At 42.6% G+C, this 19,099-nt stretch overlaps 1 annotated feature.

Moving 5' to 3' along the window:
- Window positions 18,057-18,557: an enhancer, noted in NCBI's record as "H3K4me1 hESC enhancer chr19:31939361-31939861 (GRCh37/hg19 assembly coordinates)". NCBI's record gives its function as "activates a minimal SCP1, AML or CMV promoter by ChIP-STARR-seq in naive H9 embryonic stem cells {active_cell/tissue: H9 hESC(naive)}" and the evidence as "EXISTENCE:reporter gene assay evidence [ECO:0000049][PMID:30033119]".

The following is a 19,099-nucleotide window of genomic DNA, read 5'->3' on the forward strand; positions in this document are numbered from 1 at the left end:
GACAAAGTCTTGCTCTGTCACTTGGGTTTGAGTGCAGTGGTGTTAACATAGCTCACTGCAGCCTCGAATTCCTGGCCTCAAGAGATTCTTCTGCCTCAGCCTCCCAAGTAGCTGGGACCACAGATGCACACCACCATGCCTGGATAATTCCTTTTTAGTTTTTGTAGAGATAGGATCTCCCAGTGTTGCCCAAGCTGATCTCTAACTCCTGGCCTCAAGCAGTCCTCCCGCTTCAGCCACCCGAAGTGCTGAGACTACAGGTGTGAGTCACTGTGCCCAGCAACAAAAAACCTTTTACCACCCTCCAACGTAAGGAAGAAGTTTCCAGTGAGGGGTGAAAGACAGTGACTTGGCTTCTCATGTTTGGGGTATATCTGTTAAGGAAAGTCAAGGCTGTTGGGATCCAGCCATGACCCAAGGATTTAGCAGAACTTCACTGAATGTTTTGAATCAGCCCATATGGCTTCAGATTGGATGTCCCTTTGGTGCTGGGCTGGACCTTTGGCTCTGAGCCTCTGCACAATCATGAATCTGTACAATCATGAAAAGCAGAGTTCACATTTCCCCACTCTGTGAGCTACTAGCCACAATGACCAGTAGGTCTCACGAGTCCTTCCCCCTACCCTTCCCTTGAAGGCAACCTCTTGGCTTTCATCATCATGTTTGGCCACCTTTGGGGAAAAGGTAGAACAGTTAACATCTGAGGCCACTTTCAAGACAATATGTCTCAAGCTTCGTCCCCCATGGTGGTGGCACATTGTGAAGGAGGGAACAAAGAAACCACTTTTTCTATCAGGGACTTTCCAAAGATAAGATAATTTTGTTCCTCTTCTGACCTATAAAAAAGTTATCAAAAAAAACTCTAGTAACATTCATTTTCATCTGCATATTATATTTACAATGATTCCAGAATAGAATACAAATACACACAATGAGATTTCTCATTGCTTGGGATTGTCTTTGCCTCCAAACATTCCAGATATATCACACAGCTGTTGATTTCAATGCCCTTGGAGAGACACTTCAACACACAGTACCAAGTTTCAATGCCTACTTTAAAGAGGAACCCTGAATGCAGGACAGATAATACTTTAGCTCTTGATTTCAATGATTTTACTGTTTGTATTGAGGTTTTGTGGGGTGTATTTATTTATTTATTCCTGATACACAGAGTCTCACTCTGTCACCCAGGCTAGAGTGCGGTGGTGTGATCATGACTTATTGTAGCCTTGAACGCCTGGGCTCAACCAGTCCTCCAATTCAGCCTCCCAAGTAGGACCACACGTGCATGCCACCATGCCAAGCTAAATTATCTCTCTCTCTTTTTTTTTTTTGTAGAGATGGGGTCTCACTACATTGCCCAGGCTGGTCTCAAACTCCTAGGCTCAAGCAATCCTCCTGCCTTGGCCTCCCAAAGTGCTTTTTGTATTCTTACTGGTTGCATGAGTTCTAGTTGAATGAATACCAGAAGTAAATATTGTATGGTATCAAACACGCAAGGTAGCACACAGTGAGGGTGTACCAAGTGGAAATTTAGGAACTCAGCTGAAGCCCAAGTGACTGGCTCATGTGAGGCTCCCACCAAGCTGTAATTATAGATGAGCGGCAAGCCACCCAGTGACTGTCCCTCCAGGGGTCTGCCAGTCCTGTGAGAGGAGCCAGGCTCTATGGTGCTGATCAGCACACTCCCACTTTCCTCGGATGGATCTTTCTGATGGACAGCCTGCTGGCTCCTGTGGAAAAAGAGAGGTTAACAGAAAAGGACAGAGGAGGGGCAGGGGAGAAACTCCTCTGACTGGAGACCATGGTGTGCACAGGCCCCACTCGTCTGTCTGCTGGGGATGATGCCTGGCCCTGGTGTGTGAGGTCCCGCTCATCTGGGTTCCTATAAATCTTTGAGAACTCTGTAAGATAAGCCCAGGGTCACCAAGCCCCACCCCATATCACGAGTCCAGTATGGGCTGACCCATTCCAACACCCAGTGTCAGTATCTGCATCACTGTGGCTTGGGGCTATTTTTTTTTTTTTCAGAGCACTGAAGGCTACTCTGCCTGGACACAACAGGTGGGATGTGCCAAGGAAGGAAGGAACACTCCCAGCAGCAGCCCTCAGCCAATGACTATGCAATGAGTTGCAGAGAACCACAGCACTTCCTTCACACCCCACCGGGAACGTCCTAGCATCTCCCATGGTGCCAGGCATCATTGTGGTGGCCATCTTCACAATGCATTTGCTGGTGGAAGAACTGTCTGTGCCACAGTCGCATTCCTGCCAGCATTTCCTAGGGAGCTGAATAAGGAGAACACATGGACACAGGGAGGGGAACAACACACACTGGGGCCTGTCGGCGAGCAGGGGGAGGGAGAGCACAGGATAAATAGCTAATGCATGTAGGGCTTGATACCTAGGTCATGGGTTGATAGGTACAGCAAACTACTATGGCACACATTTACCTGTGTAACAAACCTGCACAGTCAGATCTGTGTTCAGGGTCAGCTTCTGGAGCAATGCAAACTGAGACCCCTGAATTCTTAGAATGTCAGTCAGGCACCTGGTGGGCAGGTTCCTGGACCTCTCATTTTTTACTGACTATGTAGGAACTCAGATCAACTTGCCCTCACCTCTGCCCTGCAGTGGATGTTCTGGCAAGGAGATCAGATAAGGAAACAGCCCTTTCCTACAGAGAGAAAGAACCCTCAAAAGAGAGGATCTGGTAGCGATTTCCTGGAGCAGGGTTGCAAAGAGAACTCCTACTTTTAGTAAAGGAATAAAGGAAGGTTCCTGCCAGGAAGGATAATGATAGGATTTTGAAGGGTCTACAGGAGCTGGAAAATCAAATGGGATCAGAAAAATCACACAGGTGGGAATATTCCAGGACAACATGGAGCACCATGAGTAGGTGGTTTTGGCTGGAGTGGATGAAGGGCTTATGAAGGGAGGAGACCTGGAAGAGAAAGTGGCAAAAGAACATTAGGAAGATGCAGGAGGTTGCTGGGCCCTATGCATCACTCACAGAAGAATTTAGAATAGATATGAAGCATGTATCGATGCTCCTATCTATGGAATTAAATTGAAATAAGCCCTCCTCGGTCTAGCTTTGGACTCAAGCCATTCAAAGGCTTAAGGGAATAAAACAGAAAAAAAAGATAAGAAATGAGTTCAACCTGTCAACTGTGATGATAACAGTGATTGCAACATTGATAAAGTGCTTTAGTAGAAATATGGAATTTAGAAGAAAATGAAATGAAGGCAGCAGACTATTCTCACTGACAGTGATGTTGGCAAGCAGGAAGGCTTGACTGCTCTGAGATGGGTCATCCCCAGCCACCCCACACCTTGGGGTTCCCACAAGCCTGGGTTCAGGGGCTTAGTTTTTCAGGATGGGAACCCATCCCATTGTGTTTTTTAGCTGGATTCAAAATCTCCCATTCTGGAAATGATGGGAAGCCAAGGTCCTGAGTTCACTTTATTAGTTTTGGGGAGAGCAATAAAACAGTCTAAGATAGAAAGTCAGGGCAAAGGCAATTGCCTGTTCACAGGATCTCTCCCACACACCTCCTTGGCTTAGTTTCATGGAGGCTGCATGCAAGAAATAACTAAGACTCGTCCAAGGCTCAGGCTGCCTAAAATCAGATCTCTGTATATCTCTAAGCATCCTGGCAATACTTCCTTGGAGTGGTAAGTCCACTGTACTGAACGGGGATCAGTGCTGGGGTTAAATATGTTTTTTTTCCTTTTTCCTTTTGGTAAACACTTTTGAACTTTTTATCAAAGTGTAATGTGCATATGGCTGTGGAGAAATAAAAATGCTTTTACACTGTTGGTGGGGATGTAAATTAGTTCAACCATTGTGGAAGACAGTGTGGCAATTCCTCAAAGACCTAGAACCAGAAATACCATTTGGCCCAGCAATCCTATTACTGGGTATATACCCAAAGGAATATAAATTACTCTATTATAAAGATACACACACGTGTATATTCATTGCAGCACTATTCACAATAGCAAATACATGGAATTAATCCAAATGCACATTAATGATAGACTGGATACAGAAAATGTGGTACATATACATCATGCAACACTATGCAGCCATAAAAAGGAACAAGATCATGTCCTTTGCAGGGACATAAATGGAGCTGGAAGCCACTACCCTCAGCAAACTAACACAGGAACAGAAAACCAAACATGGCATGTTCTCATAAGTGGGAGATGAACAAAAAGAACACATGGACACAGGGAGGGGAACAATATACACTGGGACCTGTTGGTGGGGGCTGGTGGAGGGAGAGCATCAGGATAAATAGCTAATGCATGCAGGGCTTAATACCTAGGTGGTGGGTTGATAGGTGCAGCAAACCACCATGGCACATGTGTATATATGTAACAAACCTGCATGTCCTGCAGATGTATACTGGAACTTAAAATTAAATTAAATTAAAAAAAAGAAAGAAAATATCCACATTAACGTGATCTATTCTTCAGGAAAAATAGTTGAAAATGCAACCAACTCTTGGTGAAATGTATAAATAAATCTTTGCTATACTTTACTTCAAATAAATTATTTTAAAATAAAGTACACAAGACATAATCACACAGCTGAATAACTTTTCACAAACCAAATGCATCCATGAAATCAGCACACACATCACCAAATAACATTATCAGTACCCTCAGAAGTCTCATAAGGCCACTTGCAGTTGCTAATCCCCCTCACCCAGAGGAAGTATTCTGACATCTGGATTAGTTCTCTGTTGCTTAAAACAACAGTATATGTTTATTATCTCTCATAGTTTCTATGGATCAGGAGTTTTGGAGCAGCTTACCTGGATGGTTCTGATTTGGAGTCTTTCATAAGGTTGTAGTGAAAATATCAACCAGGGTTGTAATAATCTGAAGGCCTGATTGGGGATGGTGAATCTGTTCCAAAGGTGGCTCACTCACAAGGCTTGTAATTTGAGGATGGTTGTTTGTAGGCTTTTATTTCTTTCCATGTGGGGCCTCACTAAAGGCTGCTTGAGTTTCCTTCCAACATGGCAGCCAGTTTCCTCCAGAGAGTCACGTGAAGCCCACCTTAGAAATCACATGATATCACCTCCGCCACATTTTATTTTTTTAGAAGCAAGTCGCTAAGTCTAGCCTGTCTTGAAGGAGAGGTAATTAGGCTCCATCTTTCAAAGCGAGGAATGTCAAACATTTTGCAGAAATATTTTAAAATCACCACAACTTGTAACACTGTAGATTGCTTTCACCTGTTTTTAATTGATATGCAGGAGATTGTACAGTATCACATACAGTATGTGATGACACACAAAAGACATTCAAAAGTATGTCTTTTGTGTCTGCCTTCTATCAGTCAACATTATGTTTGGGAAATTTATCCATGTTGTTGCACATAGTTGCAGTTCATTCATTTTCATTGCCATAGAAAATGCTACAGTATAACTATACCATAAAAATGTGTATCTGTGCAATTGTAGACAGATATTGACTATCAGGAATAAAGTTGCTATGACGAATTTAGGTTTCTCTTGGCTTGCTTGATGGTTTAAGGCCAGCTCATGACTCTGTCCCATGAGAAATTATTGTACAGTGGCCTTCTCTATAAGGATGATCAAGAAACTTGTTACTCCCCAAGGAAAGATTGTAAGTCCTACACTGACCAAAACTGAGGTCTGGTACTAGCAGTCATAGCCACTTTGCCATTTGTGCAACATTTTAGTCCCCTTCCCCCCCGAACTTTCTTTCAGAAAATACAAAGAGGTTAATTAGCATTAGTCACAGTTTAAGAATTAGCCAAAAGCCTCCGCTGTTTGCAAGCTATCTTTTAAGAAGCTGAAGCAAACCCCATGGCATCTGAAGCCAGAACACTTCTCTGAGTTGTCCTGATATCTCAGAAAAGGCCTGGAGGAGACATGAGCAAATGAGTGTACTCATGGGTGAACCATCCAGTGGGAACAGTCTTGGGACAGACAGATGTGAGGTTGCCTAGCAACGCAGCATGACCAGGGAGAAGGGCCCTCAGAGGGCATCTCCAAACAGGCTGTAAAGAGTGGCACACCTGAAAGGTGTCATTCCACATGAAGATGGAGAGGCAGGTGGCCCTGATTCCCGAGAAGTCCCTGGTGGAGGTGGAGAGGATGCAGGCACCAGGAATAACATTGGGAGCTCTTTCTTTCTCCCAGAAAATCACTTCACTGACTCACACTTTGTAGCCCTAAACACTCATTTCTCTGCTCCTCACACTCACATTCCTCTCATCTCCCAGTGAGGAAGTCAAGCAGATGCTGTCCTGCCCTGGTCTCTTCTGTGCATACAGCCCCACTTCCACCTGCTGGAGCCTGCACTTCAGTGCCTGAAACATTTCTTAGGGCACTGGAGTCAAGACAACAGCATGGCAGTCAGTTTCCCTGCTCTCCAACAAGGAGGCATCCTCTACCCACAAGTGCCAGGAGTTAATGGAGAAACACCGTGGCTGCCCCTCTGATATGTTTTGGCTGTATTCCCACCCTAATATCATCTTGAATTATAGTTTCCATAATCCCCACATGTCATGGGAGGGACCTGGTGGGAGGTAATTGAATCATGGGGTGTTTTCCCCCACTATATTCTCACGAGTAATGATAATGAGTAAGTTCTTACACAACCTGATGGTTTTATAAGGGGCTCCCCCCTTTGCTCGATTCTCATTCTTCTGTCTTCTGCTGCCATGTGAAGAAGGACATGTTTGCTTCCCTTTCTGCCATGTTTGTAAGTTACCTAAGGCTTCCCCAGCCATGCTAAACTATGAGTCAATTACACCTCTTTCCTTTATAAAACACCCAGTCTCGGGTATGTCTTTTTTAGTAGCATAAGAATGGACTAGTACACCTTCCCTCTTGCAAGAGGGCTCAGGGCTGTGTCCTATGCAGGCTCCTGCAGTGCAGTTCCCCATTGGGATCAGACGTTAGTCGCCCACAGGGCAAACCATTTGATAAGATGCCATTTATTGGCTCTTTTTCTTCCTTGCCTCCCCTACCCACCTACCCGTGTTTTTTCACCTCCCAAATAAAAAACTTGCAGTTGAGTCCTTGTCTCAGGGTCTGCTCTGGGAGAACTGAGACCCACACAGGTGGTCCTCAGAATCATAGCTTTTAGCTCATTTGTTGATTTATTTAGTATATACATTTATTGCTCTTTTGCCCTGTGCCAGGCATGGTGCTTGTTGCTGGAAACTCACTGAGAAACAAAACCCCAAAGGAGCTTCCCTTCCTGTTAGGGAGACAGGCAAAAACCAGGAAGCATGAATGTAATGATGGGTAAGAGGGTGAATCTAGTGAGAGGGGCTACTTGAGATTGGGGGTGCAGCAAGAGTCCCTCTGAGCTGCTCAGGTTTGAGATGCCTGGCCAGGCTCAGCCTCTGTGGGGCTCTCCCACAGGAATGCATGGCTGGCCACTGTCCCTCCCTGCCACCCCCAACCCCAATACCTGGCTCCATGGCTGCCACTCACCATGGGCTGCTCCTTAGGGGAGACTCAGCCAAGCTCAGGTCCATGGGCCAAGTGGGTTTCTTCCTATCACTGCATCCTCAGATTCAGGCTGCCCTCTAGCTCCAGCTCTCAGTTGGCCATAGCAGTCTTCTAAAACCTGGATCCAGGTGTTGTAAGACATGGGCCACAGAACTGATGCATGAGGGAAGAATAAAGACCAACGCTCATCAAGCTATTTCCGTGTGCCAGACTCTACTGGGGGCTTCAAAATATATGGCCTCATTGACTTCACCTAATATCTGTTTGGAGTAAGTATTTTATCACTGGTATTAGAGGGGGAAACTGACACTCAGAGGGGCAGAGTGACTTCTCTGAGTCTCAGTGCTAACACAAGCCAAGGTTTAGGTTCCGGTCTACATGTCTCCAAACCCATTGTCTCTGGACCACAATCATACTGTGTACACAGTCCCTGACCGGAGTCTCTCCTGGGACACTTAACTTTCTTTTAAGGACTCTTCATTCTCACCCTCATGTCCACGCTGGCTCAGTCTTATCCTTTAAGCCCTTATGATGCCTCATTCCTCCAGGAAGCCTTCTGAGAGGAACAATCAGAGACAGAAGTCAAAGGCTGGAGCCCCTGGCTTGCTTCTGGGGGAACCTGAGCTGGAAGTCAGCAGATGACATTAGAGCCTCCCTGGCCATTGCTTATTGCCTGGGCACATAGTGAATACCACTCAGGACAGGGTCCAGAGGGCAAGGCTGGCTGGTGTGTGCTGGCCTCTCCCCCATATCCCAGGCTGGGCAGCCCCCACTGTGTTTCCATAGTGATGATGACAACTATGATGATGACCTTATTGGTCATCATTGGGTGGCCACATTCGATGCTCGGCGTTTTCTACGTAATATCTTAGGTAATTCCCCTACCACCTGCTGCTCCACAATCAGGTCTGTTGTAACATGTCTGTTCTCTAAAGGGGCAGGGCACAGACATAGGTGACAGCTCCATCAAGAATCAAGCGGGGATGACGCAGTGGGCTGTGTCTTGCACGGCAGTGGAGAGGATATCACTGAACTCTCTAGACTCATTTTACAACATTCTCCTGTCATTCCTTGGGAAGTGTTCAACAAAGCTTCTTCCCTTTGCATTCATCTGAGCCTGGCTTCTGTCAGTGTATGCGCTTTTCAAAAATGCTGTCAATCCCCCACTTCTTGAATCAGTTAATTAACTAGTTGAGTGTCTGTTTAAGCAGAGGAAAACCCAAATTGCGTAGGATCCCACCCACCTCTCTGCAAGTCAATTCAGTAAACATTCACCGCAGCCCTGCTGGCTTGCCCAACACAGTGGCCACATGGGAGGGACGTGGAAGAGGTGGCCACCTGGGTCTTGCCCTTGGGAGACAGGTATGTGCCCTTCCCTGGCTACCAAACAGGAAAGAGCATGTCTGGTGTCAGCTCTGTCCTTATATAATCTAGGAATGACAGGAAGCAGTGCTGGCGGTGCAGAGGGGAATAGAGCTACGCCTTGCAGAACCGGGTTTCAGCTAAGATAAGGGTGACTTTCCCTTTCCGTCTGCAGCAGGGAGTGCAATATGCACAGTTCACTGGGTCTGGATAACTTGCACAGAAATTGAAGTGTGTTGGGAGAATCATAGGAAAGGCTGAAGAATGTGAGATCCAGGTGACAGAAATTAATAGGTAGCTACTTCAGGAAAACTCTGCTGGCATGAGATGGGTGCCAAGTGTTGACCTTACCTGTGTCTGTCCAGATTGAAAGGGGAGGGAGGAGAAAGCAGGAGAGGGAGCAAGAGTGAGAGAGAGAGAGGGTTGGGAGAGAGTGGGAGCCTCAATGATGCCCAGCCCCTAGCTGGGGAAGGGCAGGGCCCTTGGCTGGCTGTCCCCCGAAAACTGACCACAGTGCCTCAAGAGAACTGTCCCAATCCTGGTGTTTTCCCCAGAAGATGGAGATATGGATGCAAAGTGGGTAAAGCTACAGATACCTGCTCCAGGGCGTGGGGGTGGAGGGTGCAACTTCGTGCCTCAGAGAGAAGTGTGTGAAGGGCCTGAATTTTCCCTGACAAACAGCAAGACCAACTGGGAGATTACAAGCACTGGGTTCCTTCCAAAGTCTAAGGAATCAGAAGCCTCCATGGATGTCTGGGTCTAGGAGAATTCTGAGAAAGCAGCCAGGGCATCTCTGGAACATGGATGAGAGACTGGAGGTGAATTTAGTGTTGTGGAAACTAGAGAGTCCAAAGAGTGGTGGTTGTGAGGAGTCCTTGAAATATTAAGCATAGAATTACTGTAGGAGCTGGCCATTCCACTTGTGGGCACATACACACAAGAGTTGAAAGGAGGGACTTGACTGGATATTTCATTCCAAAAGGTGAAAGCAACCCCAAAAATCCATCTATGTATGAATGGAAAAGCAAAATGTGGGCTATGCATAAAATGGGAGGTATTCTGCCTTAAAAAGGAGGGAAATTCTGACACATAGGGCAACATGATGAACCTCAAAGATAAAGATAAGTGAAATAAGCCAGTTACAGAAGTACACTTTTGTATGATTCCACTTATATGGGGTGCCTAAAGTAGTTGAATTCATCAAAACAGAAAGTAGACATGGGCTTGCCAGAAGGTTTGGGTAAAGGGAAGTAGGGAATTATTGTTTAATGAATGTGGAGTTTGTTTGAGATGATGGAAAACTTCTGGAGTTGGATTCACAACAATGTAAACACGCTTAATGCCATGGAACTGTACACCTAAAAAGATTAAAATGGTGAATCTTATCTTATGTGTATTTTACTACAATTAAAAAAGAATACAGAGACAGGGATGGGCTGCTTGGACCCTGTCACCAGAGACATTCAAGCAGAAGCTGCATGACTCTAGATCTTGGTTATGAAATGAGACTCAGATAGAAGATAAGGTTTGTCTCGCCCCTAGACTCAGGGTGATGCCGTGGAAAGGCGGCTTTGCAGTCAGACAAAAATGGATGAGTATCCCAGCTCTGCATCCTAGTTAGCTGTGGGACTTGGCCGAGTTGCCTAAATTCTCTAAGCCTTCCCTTCCTTTGTCATCTGTGAAATGGATGTTCCAATGACTACCATGCTAGTTAATTGTGAGGACTAAATGAGGCAATGTGCCTGGAAACAAAACCCAATGGAACCCAATAAAAAACATCTCAGGACAACAGATACGCACAAATGACCCTGAGACATGAACAGATGCTCAATTTCACTCATAACAGCAGAGATGCAAATCACAAAGGCTCAACACCTGAAGATATCAATTTTGACCTATCAGACTGGAACATCCCATGGTTTGAGAACATACACTACATCATTGGAGAGGCCATAGTGAAAGAGCCACAAGTATTGCTGGTTCAAAGCAAAATAATGCCAACCCTGTGTAGGGCAATTTGGCAGTGTTTATAAATATATAAAATCAACATTTCCTGGTGACCTACATTATGAGATATATATCATATAATTATCTATCTATCTATCTATCTGTCTGCCTGTCTATGTATCTATCTAGAGGTTTTCATCCTGCCTAACTCCCATAGCCATTATCATAATGTTGGGGCACTTCAGGCCTCAGGAGCAGACCTCAGAAAACAGAATCTCTCTCTGACCTTCTTCCTCCTGTCACCTGCCCCATACCCTGGAGAAAAAAATACTGCACAGAGAGGCCAAAAAGAATCTGAACGGATAGGCCTGGCTGGGTTTGGATCATGCCCTTTTTGTCCAATCACATTTCTACATGTTGATCAGTCACGCCTATTCAGTGAAGTCTCCATAAAAGGCCCCAGAGGAGTGGGTCTGGAGCATCCATGTGGCTGAATTTATGGAGCTTCCTGAACGGTGGTGCCCAGGGAGGGCATGGAAGCTCAGTGCCCTTTCCTTTGTACCTCACCTGTGTATCTCTCCATCTGATTCATTTGTGATAGCCTTTATAATAAACTGGTACATGTGTTTCCCTGAGTTCTGTGAGCCACTCCAGCAAATTAGTCAAGTCCAAAGAGGGGGTTGTGGGGACCCCAACTTGAAGCCCTTCAGTCAGAAGTTCTAGAGGCCCAGACTTGCAACTGACATCTGAAGTCAGGGAAGTCTTGGGGACTGAGCCCTCACACTGTAACATCTGACGCTATCTCTCGGTAGATAGTGTCAGAATTGAATTGAAATAGAGGACACTCAGAGAAATGCAAGTGGCAAAGTCTCCATACTCTGAAGATATCAATTTTGACTTTTCACATTGAAGCATCCAATGGTTTGAGAACATACACTGTTGGGAGAGGTTATGGTGGAAGGGCTACATGTATTGCTGGTTTAAAGCAAAATAAAACCAACCCTGTGTGGGGCAATTTGACAATCATTATAAATATATAAAATCAGCATTTCACACTGCAGTGTTCACTGCAGAATTAATGGCTCACTTGGTGGTGTGAAGAACTCCCCACATATTTTAGGGTCACGGAAGTCTTCTGTGATGATTGTTGTGAAGAGTGAGAGTAGGAGAAAACACAGTTTGAGGTTTTTTTCTCAAACACCTGGCAATCTCACTACTGGGAAATTATCCTACAGCTATACCAGCAAGTATGCAAAATGACATAATACAAAGTTTTTTTTACAGTAGAAAAATGTATAATATCAAAAAACTTAAAACAATTGAATATTCATTTATAAGGGACTGGTTAAATAAACTGTGTCATATCCACAGAAAAGGGACAGTGTGCAGCACAGGAAAAGAATGAGGAAGCTGCGCTAATAATACAAAGTGACAAAAAGCAAAATTCAAACAATGTGCCTGTGAGCCACATTTTCTTGTAAGAGAGACAAGGAGGTTAAAATGATATCTGTAGTTGTTTCTTTTTGCCTAAAGAAACCCTGTGAGGATAAACACAAAACTAGACTAGGCATGGTGGCTCACACCTATAATTCCAGCACTTTGGGAATCCAAGGTGGGAGGATTGCTTGAGGTCAGGGGCTCAGTACTAACCTGGACAACATTGTGAGACCCCATCTCTTAAAAAAATAAAAATAAAAAAATAATAAATTAGCCAGGTGTGGTGGTGGCCTTCTGTGGTCCCAGGACTCAGGAGGATTCCTTTAGCCCAGGAGTTCAAGGCTGAACTCCAGCCTAGGTGACAAAGCCAGACCACATCTCAAACAAAACAAAACATGTAACTAATAAAGCCAAGTAACTAATAAAAATAATTTCCTGTAGGTGAAGGGACTGGACTGGGACTGAGATATCTCTGGGTATACTTCTAAATTTTAGATCATGTTAATGCGTTACTTACATGAACTTTAATTTTTAAAAAATGCTAAAAATAAAACTTATGAAACTTCATTGGAGACATAAAAAGAAAATTTAATGAATAAATTGGCATATTATGTTTCTATTGAGTCTAGAGAAAGGCTCAGTACTCTGAAGACAATCAATTTATTTCAAATTAATCAATTAATTCAATGCATTTGTAATCAACAATGCAACATATAGAATCTGAAAGAGTTATTCTAATGTTCATCATACAGGAAAGAAAACAATTCTAGAATTGTCAGGACAGTTTTGGACAAAGATAACGAGGGGTTTATGTTATCAAAATATACCTTTATAGTAGTTAAAGTGTATTTTAAATACATTAATTATATTTTATTATTACATGGAAAAAGAAAGATACATTAATGAAAAAGAGTGCAGAGTCTGGAAACGGACCCATATGTCTATGAAAATTTACAGAATAATAAAAATAAAACAAGATCTTTGTTTTACAACATTAATGCAGTGAAATGCAAATAGGTTAGAAATCTACAGATTTAAAAACAAAACTTTGAAAGCACAAGAATAAAATGCAGAATAATTTTTAGGGTTTGGGTAATAAAGACTTTCTAAAGCAGGAGAGAAAACTTAGACATAATAAAGTAAAAGAGTAATCAGACTTTATTGGCAATTTAAAAATCACCATACATACAGTTGTTTCAATTTACCAGTGACAAACAGAAATTAAAAATTAAAAAAATATTTGCAACAGCATTAAATTTTCACCTCAAAAAAATAAATCTAATGAAAAGTATGTGAGGCTTCTTTACAATAATTATAAAGTATTATCATTAATAATCATCACTATATTACCTTTTATTATTTAATAATGAAATCATTATTACTAAGATGTAAATGAATGGATCTATATACCTTGTTCTTGGGTTGGATTTTAGCTATGCCAATTCTCTCCAGATGATTTATTATAGTTGATGTAATCTCAATAAAGACATCAATATCTGTTTTTGGAGAAAATTGGCAAGCTGACTTAAATTTTAATGAGACTATAAAGGGCTAAGAATAGCCAAGATACTCCTTAAGAAGAAGAAGAAGGTGGAAGGACTTACTCTTCTGGTTATTCAAAGTTATGATGAAACTACAGCAGTGAAGACTGTGGCATTGGTTCAAGGATGGATAAATAGGCCAATGAACAGGAAACAGGTCAGAGAGAGTCAGGGACACTTGATCCATGACAAAAAGCACACTGCAATGGGGAAACGATGTCCTTTCAATAAACACTACTAGGCCAATTGAATAATATAGAGAAAAAGGTTGACTCCCTACCTCACACCAACCTGTCCATATACAAAGATCAATTCCAGGTAGTTTATAAATCTAAGTGTGGAAGGAAAACAATAAAGCTTCTAAGGAAAACATTGGAGAGTTTTCTTATAGCCTTAGGGTAGAAAAGACTTCTCAAGTAAGATATAGAAAGTAGTGTCATAGAAGAAGATTGATTAATTGAACTGCATTAAAATGAAAAGCTTTTGTTCATTAAAAGACATCATGAAGAAGCAAAGATAAATCACAGAGTGGGAGAATGTATTTGCAAAGCAAATTACCAATAAACAACTTATTCCTGGAATATATAAAGAACTCCTGCAAATCAATACAAAATGACACACAACTGTGCCAGCTATTAATTTATTGCCTCTCAGCTCCAAATTCACCCAATTTCCCCCTAGTTTGCAATACTGGAGCTGGGATCTGTACTCAGTTCCTGCTTTGCTCAGTGGCTTTATGTCAGGCTGTGTCAATAGGGATCACTGATGGAGGCTGCAAGAATGGAAGAGGGACAGGGATGTTTTCTCTCCCTGGATTTTGCCATTGGTGGTAAGCAGAACAGTCCAAGGGCCGTGAGTTCCTGCAGCGCCCCTGTGACAGTAGGCATTTCTCATGGTTTTGGGATAGCCCAGCAAGCTTTGTCTTTATTGCAGAGGCATGTGACAAAGTTCTGCAACAGCTGCATCATCTCAACAATCTGAATCTCTGTTTTTAGAGGCCTCTTTTCTAAGCTGCCAAGTTTCTTCCTTGGCTTCCTTTTCTCTCAGCCCCAGGAGTGGTCGCTTTCTGCAGCTGCTACCCAGATACAACTTAGAGTCCTCTTTTACCTCTTTTGGTTATTCGCCATCTCTTGCCTACTTAAGAAATATTTGCAATACTTTTTTTCTTTGTTCAAATTTCTGAGTGTGGAATCATTCTCCTAACTGAATCCTGGCATATACAACAACCCAATAGAGAAACGGGAGAGACTCAAACAGGTACATCATAAAGAGGATGCCCAAATGGCAAAGAAACATATGAAAGAGGGCTCACCTTCATTACTCATCTGAGAAATGCAAATTTAAGGCAAACACAATACCACTATCCACCCATTAGAATGGTTAAAATTAGAAAGACTCACAATACCAAGTGTTGATGAGAATGTGGAACAGCCAAAACTCTTACAATGCTGATAGGTCCATGAAATGATGAAACTACTTTGAAAAAGTGACATTGTCTATACTCTGTGTATACTATGTGGCATACACCCAACTGCAAAGGATATAAAGATACACTGAAAAACATGTACAAGAATATTCATGGCAGCATTGTTTATAAAAGCCAAACTCTGAAATTAAAATAAAAACAACTCAGAGGTCCATCAGAAGTAGAATAGGTAAAATATGATACAATGATTAAATGCAATGTTATACAAAAACAGAAACAATCTGTACCTATGTTGTATAACATGGATGAATTTCACAAACATGATACTGACCAACAGAAATAAGGAGCTGGGTGCTGAGAAGTATATGACATATGATTATTCTATATAAATTTTTAAAGGGCTAAACTCATCTTTTGATAGTTATCATTGCTGGGAAATCATTACCTCTAGATGGAGAAAGGAGGTAGTGACTGGGAGGGTGTAAGAAGGGAACCTCATGGCAGGTAAAATTTTTTTATTTCTTGACCTGGGATATGTTCATTTTGTGAAACTTGATGAACTCACTGTTTTAAAATCATGTACTTTTCTGCATATATGTTATTCTTCAATTAAAAAGTAAAAAGAAGACAGAAAAAGAAAAGGCAGCATGTTAAGACAAAATACTTAACTATATTTTATTAGTGAAAGTTTAGGATCCAATCCACATAAAGAGTTTCTGTTTAAAAATGACAAACAACCTTAGAGAAAAATGGACAAAGATTATAAAAAACAATTCACATAATACATACTATTATCCAATATAAAAGGCAGATTCCCTTAGTTTCTCTCTTCGAAGCCTGGGAAATAGGTACTTAAACACCAATGGCCTTGACTACCCATTTGAATAGGAAAACAAAAGGCTGACAAAATGTTGGGCGGGGGGATGTGGGAAAAGGGGCATCAGTACCCCTTTTCTGACTGTACCATCAGTCAGATATAAATTGTTAAAATTCTTTTGGAGGAAAATTTGGCAATATTTATCAAAATAAAAACAGGACTAACCCCTAGTCCACCATTTCACTTCTAGAAATTCTAAAATAACATTCACGCATGTTCAAAAAGATGTAAGCAAAATAATGTTTTGTTTTGTTTTTCTTTGAGACACAGTTTTGCTCTGTCGCCCATGCTAGAGTGCAGCGGCGCGATCTCTGCTCACTTCAAGCTCTTTTTGATGCCATTCTCCTGTCTCAGCCTCCCAAGTAGCTGAGACTACACCCAGCACCCGCCACGGTGCCCAGCTAATTTTTTGTATTTTTGTTTTTTTAGTAGAGACGGGGTTTCACCATGTTAGCCAGGGTGGTCTTGATCTCCTGACGTCATGATCCACCCGCCTCGGCCTCCCAAAGTGCTGGGATTACAGGCTTGAGCCACCATGCCCAGCCACAAAATAATGTTTATCGCAGCATTTTTTTCTTGTAACATAAAAAAGAAATGGGAAATTAAGTCTCTATGAATCAGAAGAAAATCAAGTTTCTTCATACAATGGAATACTACATGGCTGGTAAAAATATAATGGGGTCCTCTGTGACTTAACGTGACAAAATCTAGCGTAAGGCTAACTCATGAAAGCAACTCTCAAATCAGTGCATTAAACATTATAGCATTCATGTAAAAGAATTAAATACTCAGAGTATGTTTGTAAGGGTTGTTTTCAAGTTTGTCTCTATAGCCTCATAGACTACTTAAATATACCATACCAGAATATTTTTAAGTCACAGAAGTAAAGCGCTAATAAGCAAAAATAAGCATTTAAAGTCTCCTCCATGATGCCTGCTAGATAGTAGAATTCTTATTCCCTGATGTCCTAATGGCAGACTCTGGCTGATGAAAGTGATCAACACCTAACTATACAGGCATTTCAAACAACAGGATTTATTTACGGAGGACAGGAAGGAGGGAGCAGAAATTCTTGTTCAGAAAATAAATTCCTTAGAATTTCATTGAGCTTGTTTATTCTTGGCCTACTCCATGATATGGAATACTTACTTGGACCATCTTCTATCGGTTTAGGGATGGTGGGATGCTCTCTGTCCTGGACAAGGCTGATATGGATCCATAGAAATAAAATGTGAGCCTCCTGTGTGACTTTAAATGTTCCAATAGCGAAATCAGAAAAAAGTAAAATGAAACCAGAGAAATTAATTTTAATAATATATGTTATTAACCCAAGGTATGAAAACAATTATTATCTCAACATTTAATTAATATAAAAGTATTAATGGAATATGATGTATTCAATTTTTTGGTAAGATCTTCAAAATCTGGTGTGCATGTCACACTTACAGCCCATCTTGATTTGGATGCTATGTTTTTCTTGACTTGATCTGTATTTAAATTTCACAAACTTCCCAGTAGATTCAAATACCTAAGTTGTTTTGAACATATCTAAGCATATGAGTTTTTCAAGAACAGAATCAAGTATCAGTTTTTTAAAATTTGGATTTAGACAGAATGAAGTAAAGTTAAAAATTCAGTGCCTCCATTGCCCTGGCCATATTTCGAGTACCCAGTAGCCACATGTGGCCAGTGGCTCCATATTGGACAAGGCAAGTGGAGACCAGTCCTCCCATGTGGTCTTGGAGGTGGGTCTTGGCATTCTTGGGAACTGCTGCCCCAGCCAGCTGGGCTCCCTGGCCATGTTAGCTCTTCTCTGCATCCTGAACACGTGGGAGCTGCAGGCACTGGGACAACCAGGCAAGGGCTGGAGCTCTGCCAGCTTCCAGGGCAGGCAGCTGGTCCCACTTGTCTCAGACACCTGGCTGCCTGACATTTACCCAGCAGCCTCGGCTCCACCATGCAAAGCTGGCGAGGACAGACCAGGGTTCCTGCAGGCTGTGAAGGGCTCTGCAGAGGGACTGCATTCCTGGGGGATGAGCCTGACCTTGGGATGAACCCAGTGGGATGACATAAGCCATGATTTCACAACATGGCAGTGATCACGAGCTCTCTGTGAGCTGGGGTGGACCGCGGTTTCTGCTGAGAGCATGGCGGCTACAGGGGAAACTGAGGCAGCCCACAGCTCTGTCCTGCACCAAGATCTCTCCTTCAAGACAGGTCCCAGAGCCTCAGCATCATCAATCCCTGGGACACACATATCAGTGGCGAGAACTTGTATTTCCTCTGAAAACGGAAGGGCTGCTTTTCCACATCTTGAGAAGTAGCTATTTTTCTCTTTCTTCCTTAAATCAGTGATGAAGCTTCTGTTCAAGTTTCATTCTCGAGAACTGTGCAGAAGCTTCCCTCGCTTTGCGCTCTGGGCTGGGAAGACTACATGGTTCCATCAGTATTCTGTGTTCTCATTTTGGTGAAATTGAAATTTCATGGATTAAATCACCTCTCCTATGTACCCAGTACATGCCATGGAGACAACCCAATAAAAGGCATGGTCCCTGTCCTCCAGGATCCCACAGTTTCATGGAGGAAGTCAAAGGAGACTTCTTTTTATTAAAAACAGTGGCTCACAACCTTGCCTGCACAGTAGAATCCCTGGAAAGTTTTAAAAAGCATCAATGCCTAGGATGCACCACAGAGGTTCTGATTTAATTGGTCTAGGATGCAGCTTTGGCATTGGGATTTTATTTTGTTTTATTTATTTTATTTTATTGTTTGAGATGGAGTTCTGCTCTGTCACCCAGCCTGGAGTGCAATGGTGTGATCTCAGCTCACTGCAACCTTCGCCTCCTAGGTTCAAGCAATTCTCCTGCCTCAACTTCCTGAGTAGCTGGGATTACAGGTGCCCAACACTATGCCCACCTAATTTTGGTATTTTTAGTAGAGATTGGGTTTTACCATGTTGGCCAGGCTGGTGGTGAACTCCTGACCTCAGGTGATCCACCCA

This window comes from Homo sapiens, chromosome 19 (assembly GCF_000001405.40).
Source record: "Homo sapiens chromosome 19, GRCh38.p14 Primary Assembly".
NCBI lineage: Eukaryota > Metazoa > Chordata > Mammalia > Primates > Hominidae > Homo > Homo sapiens.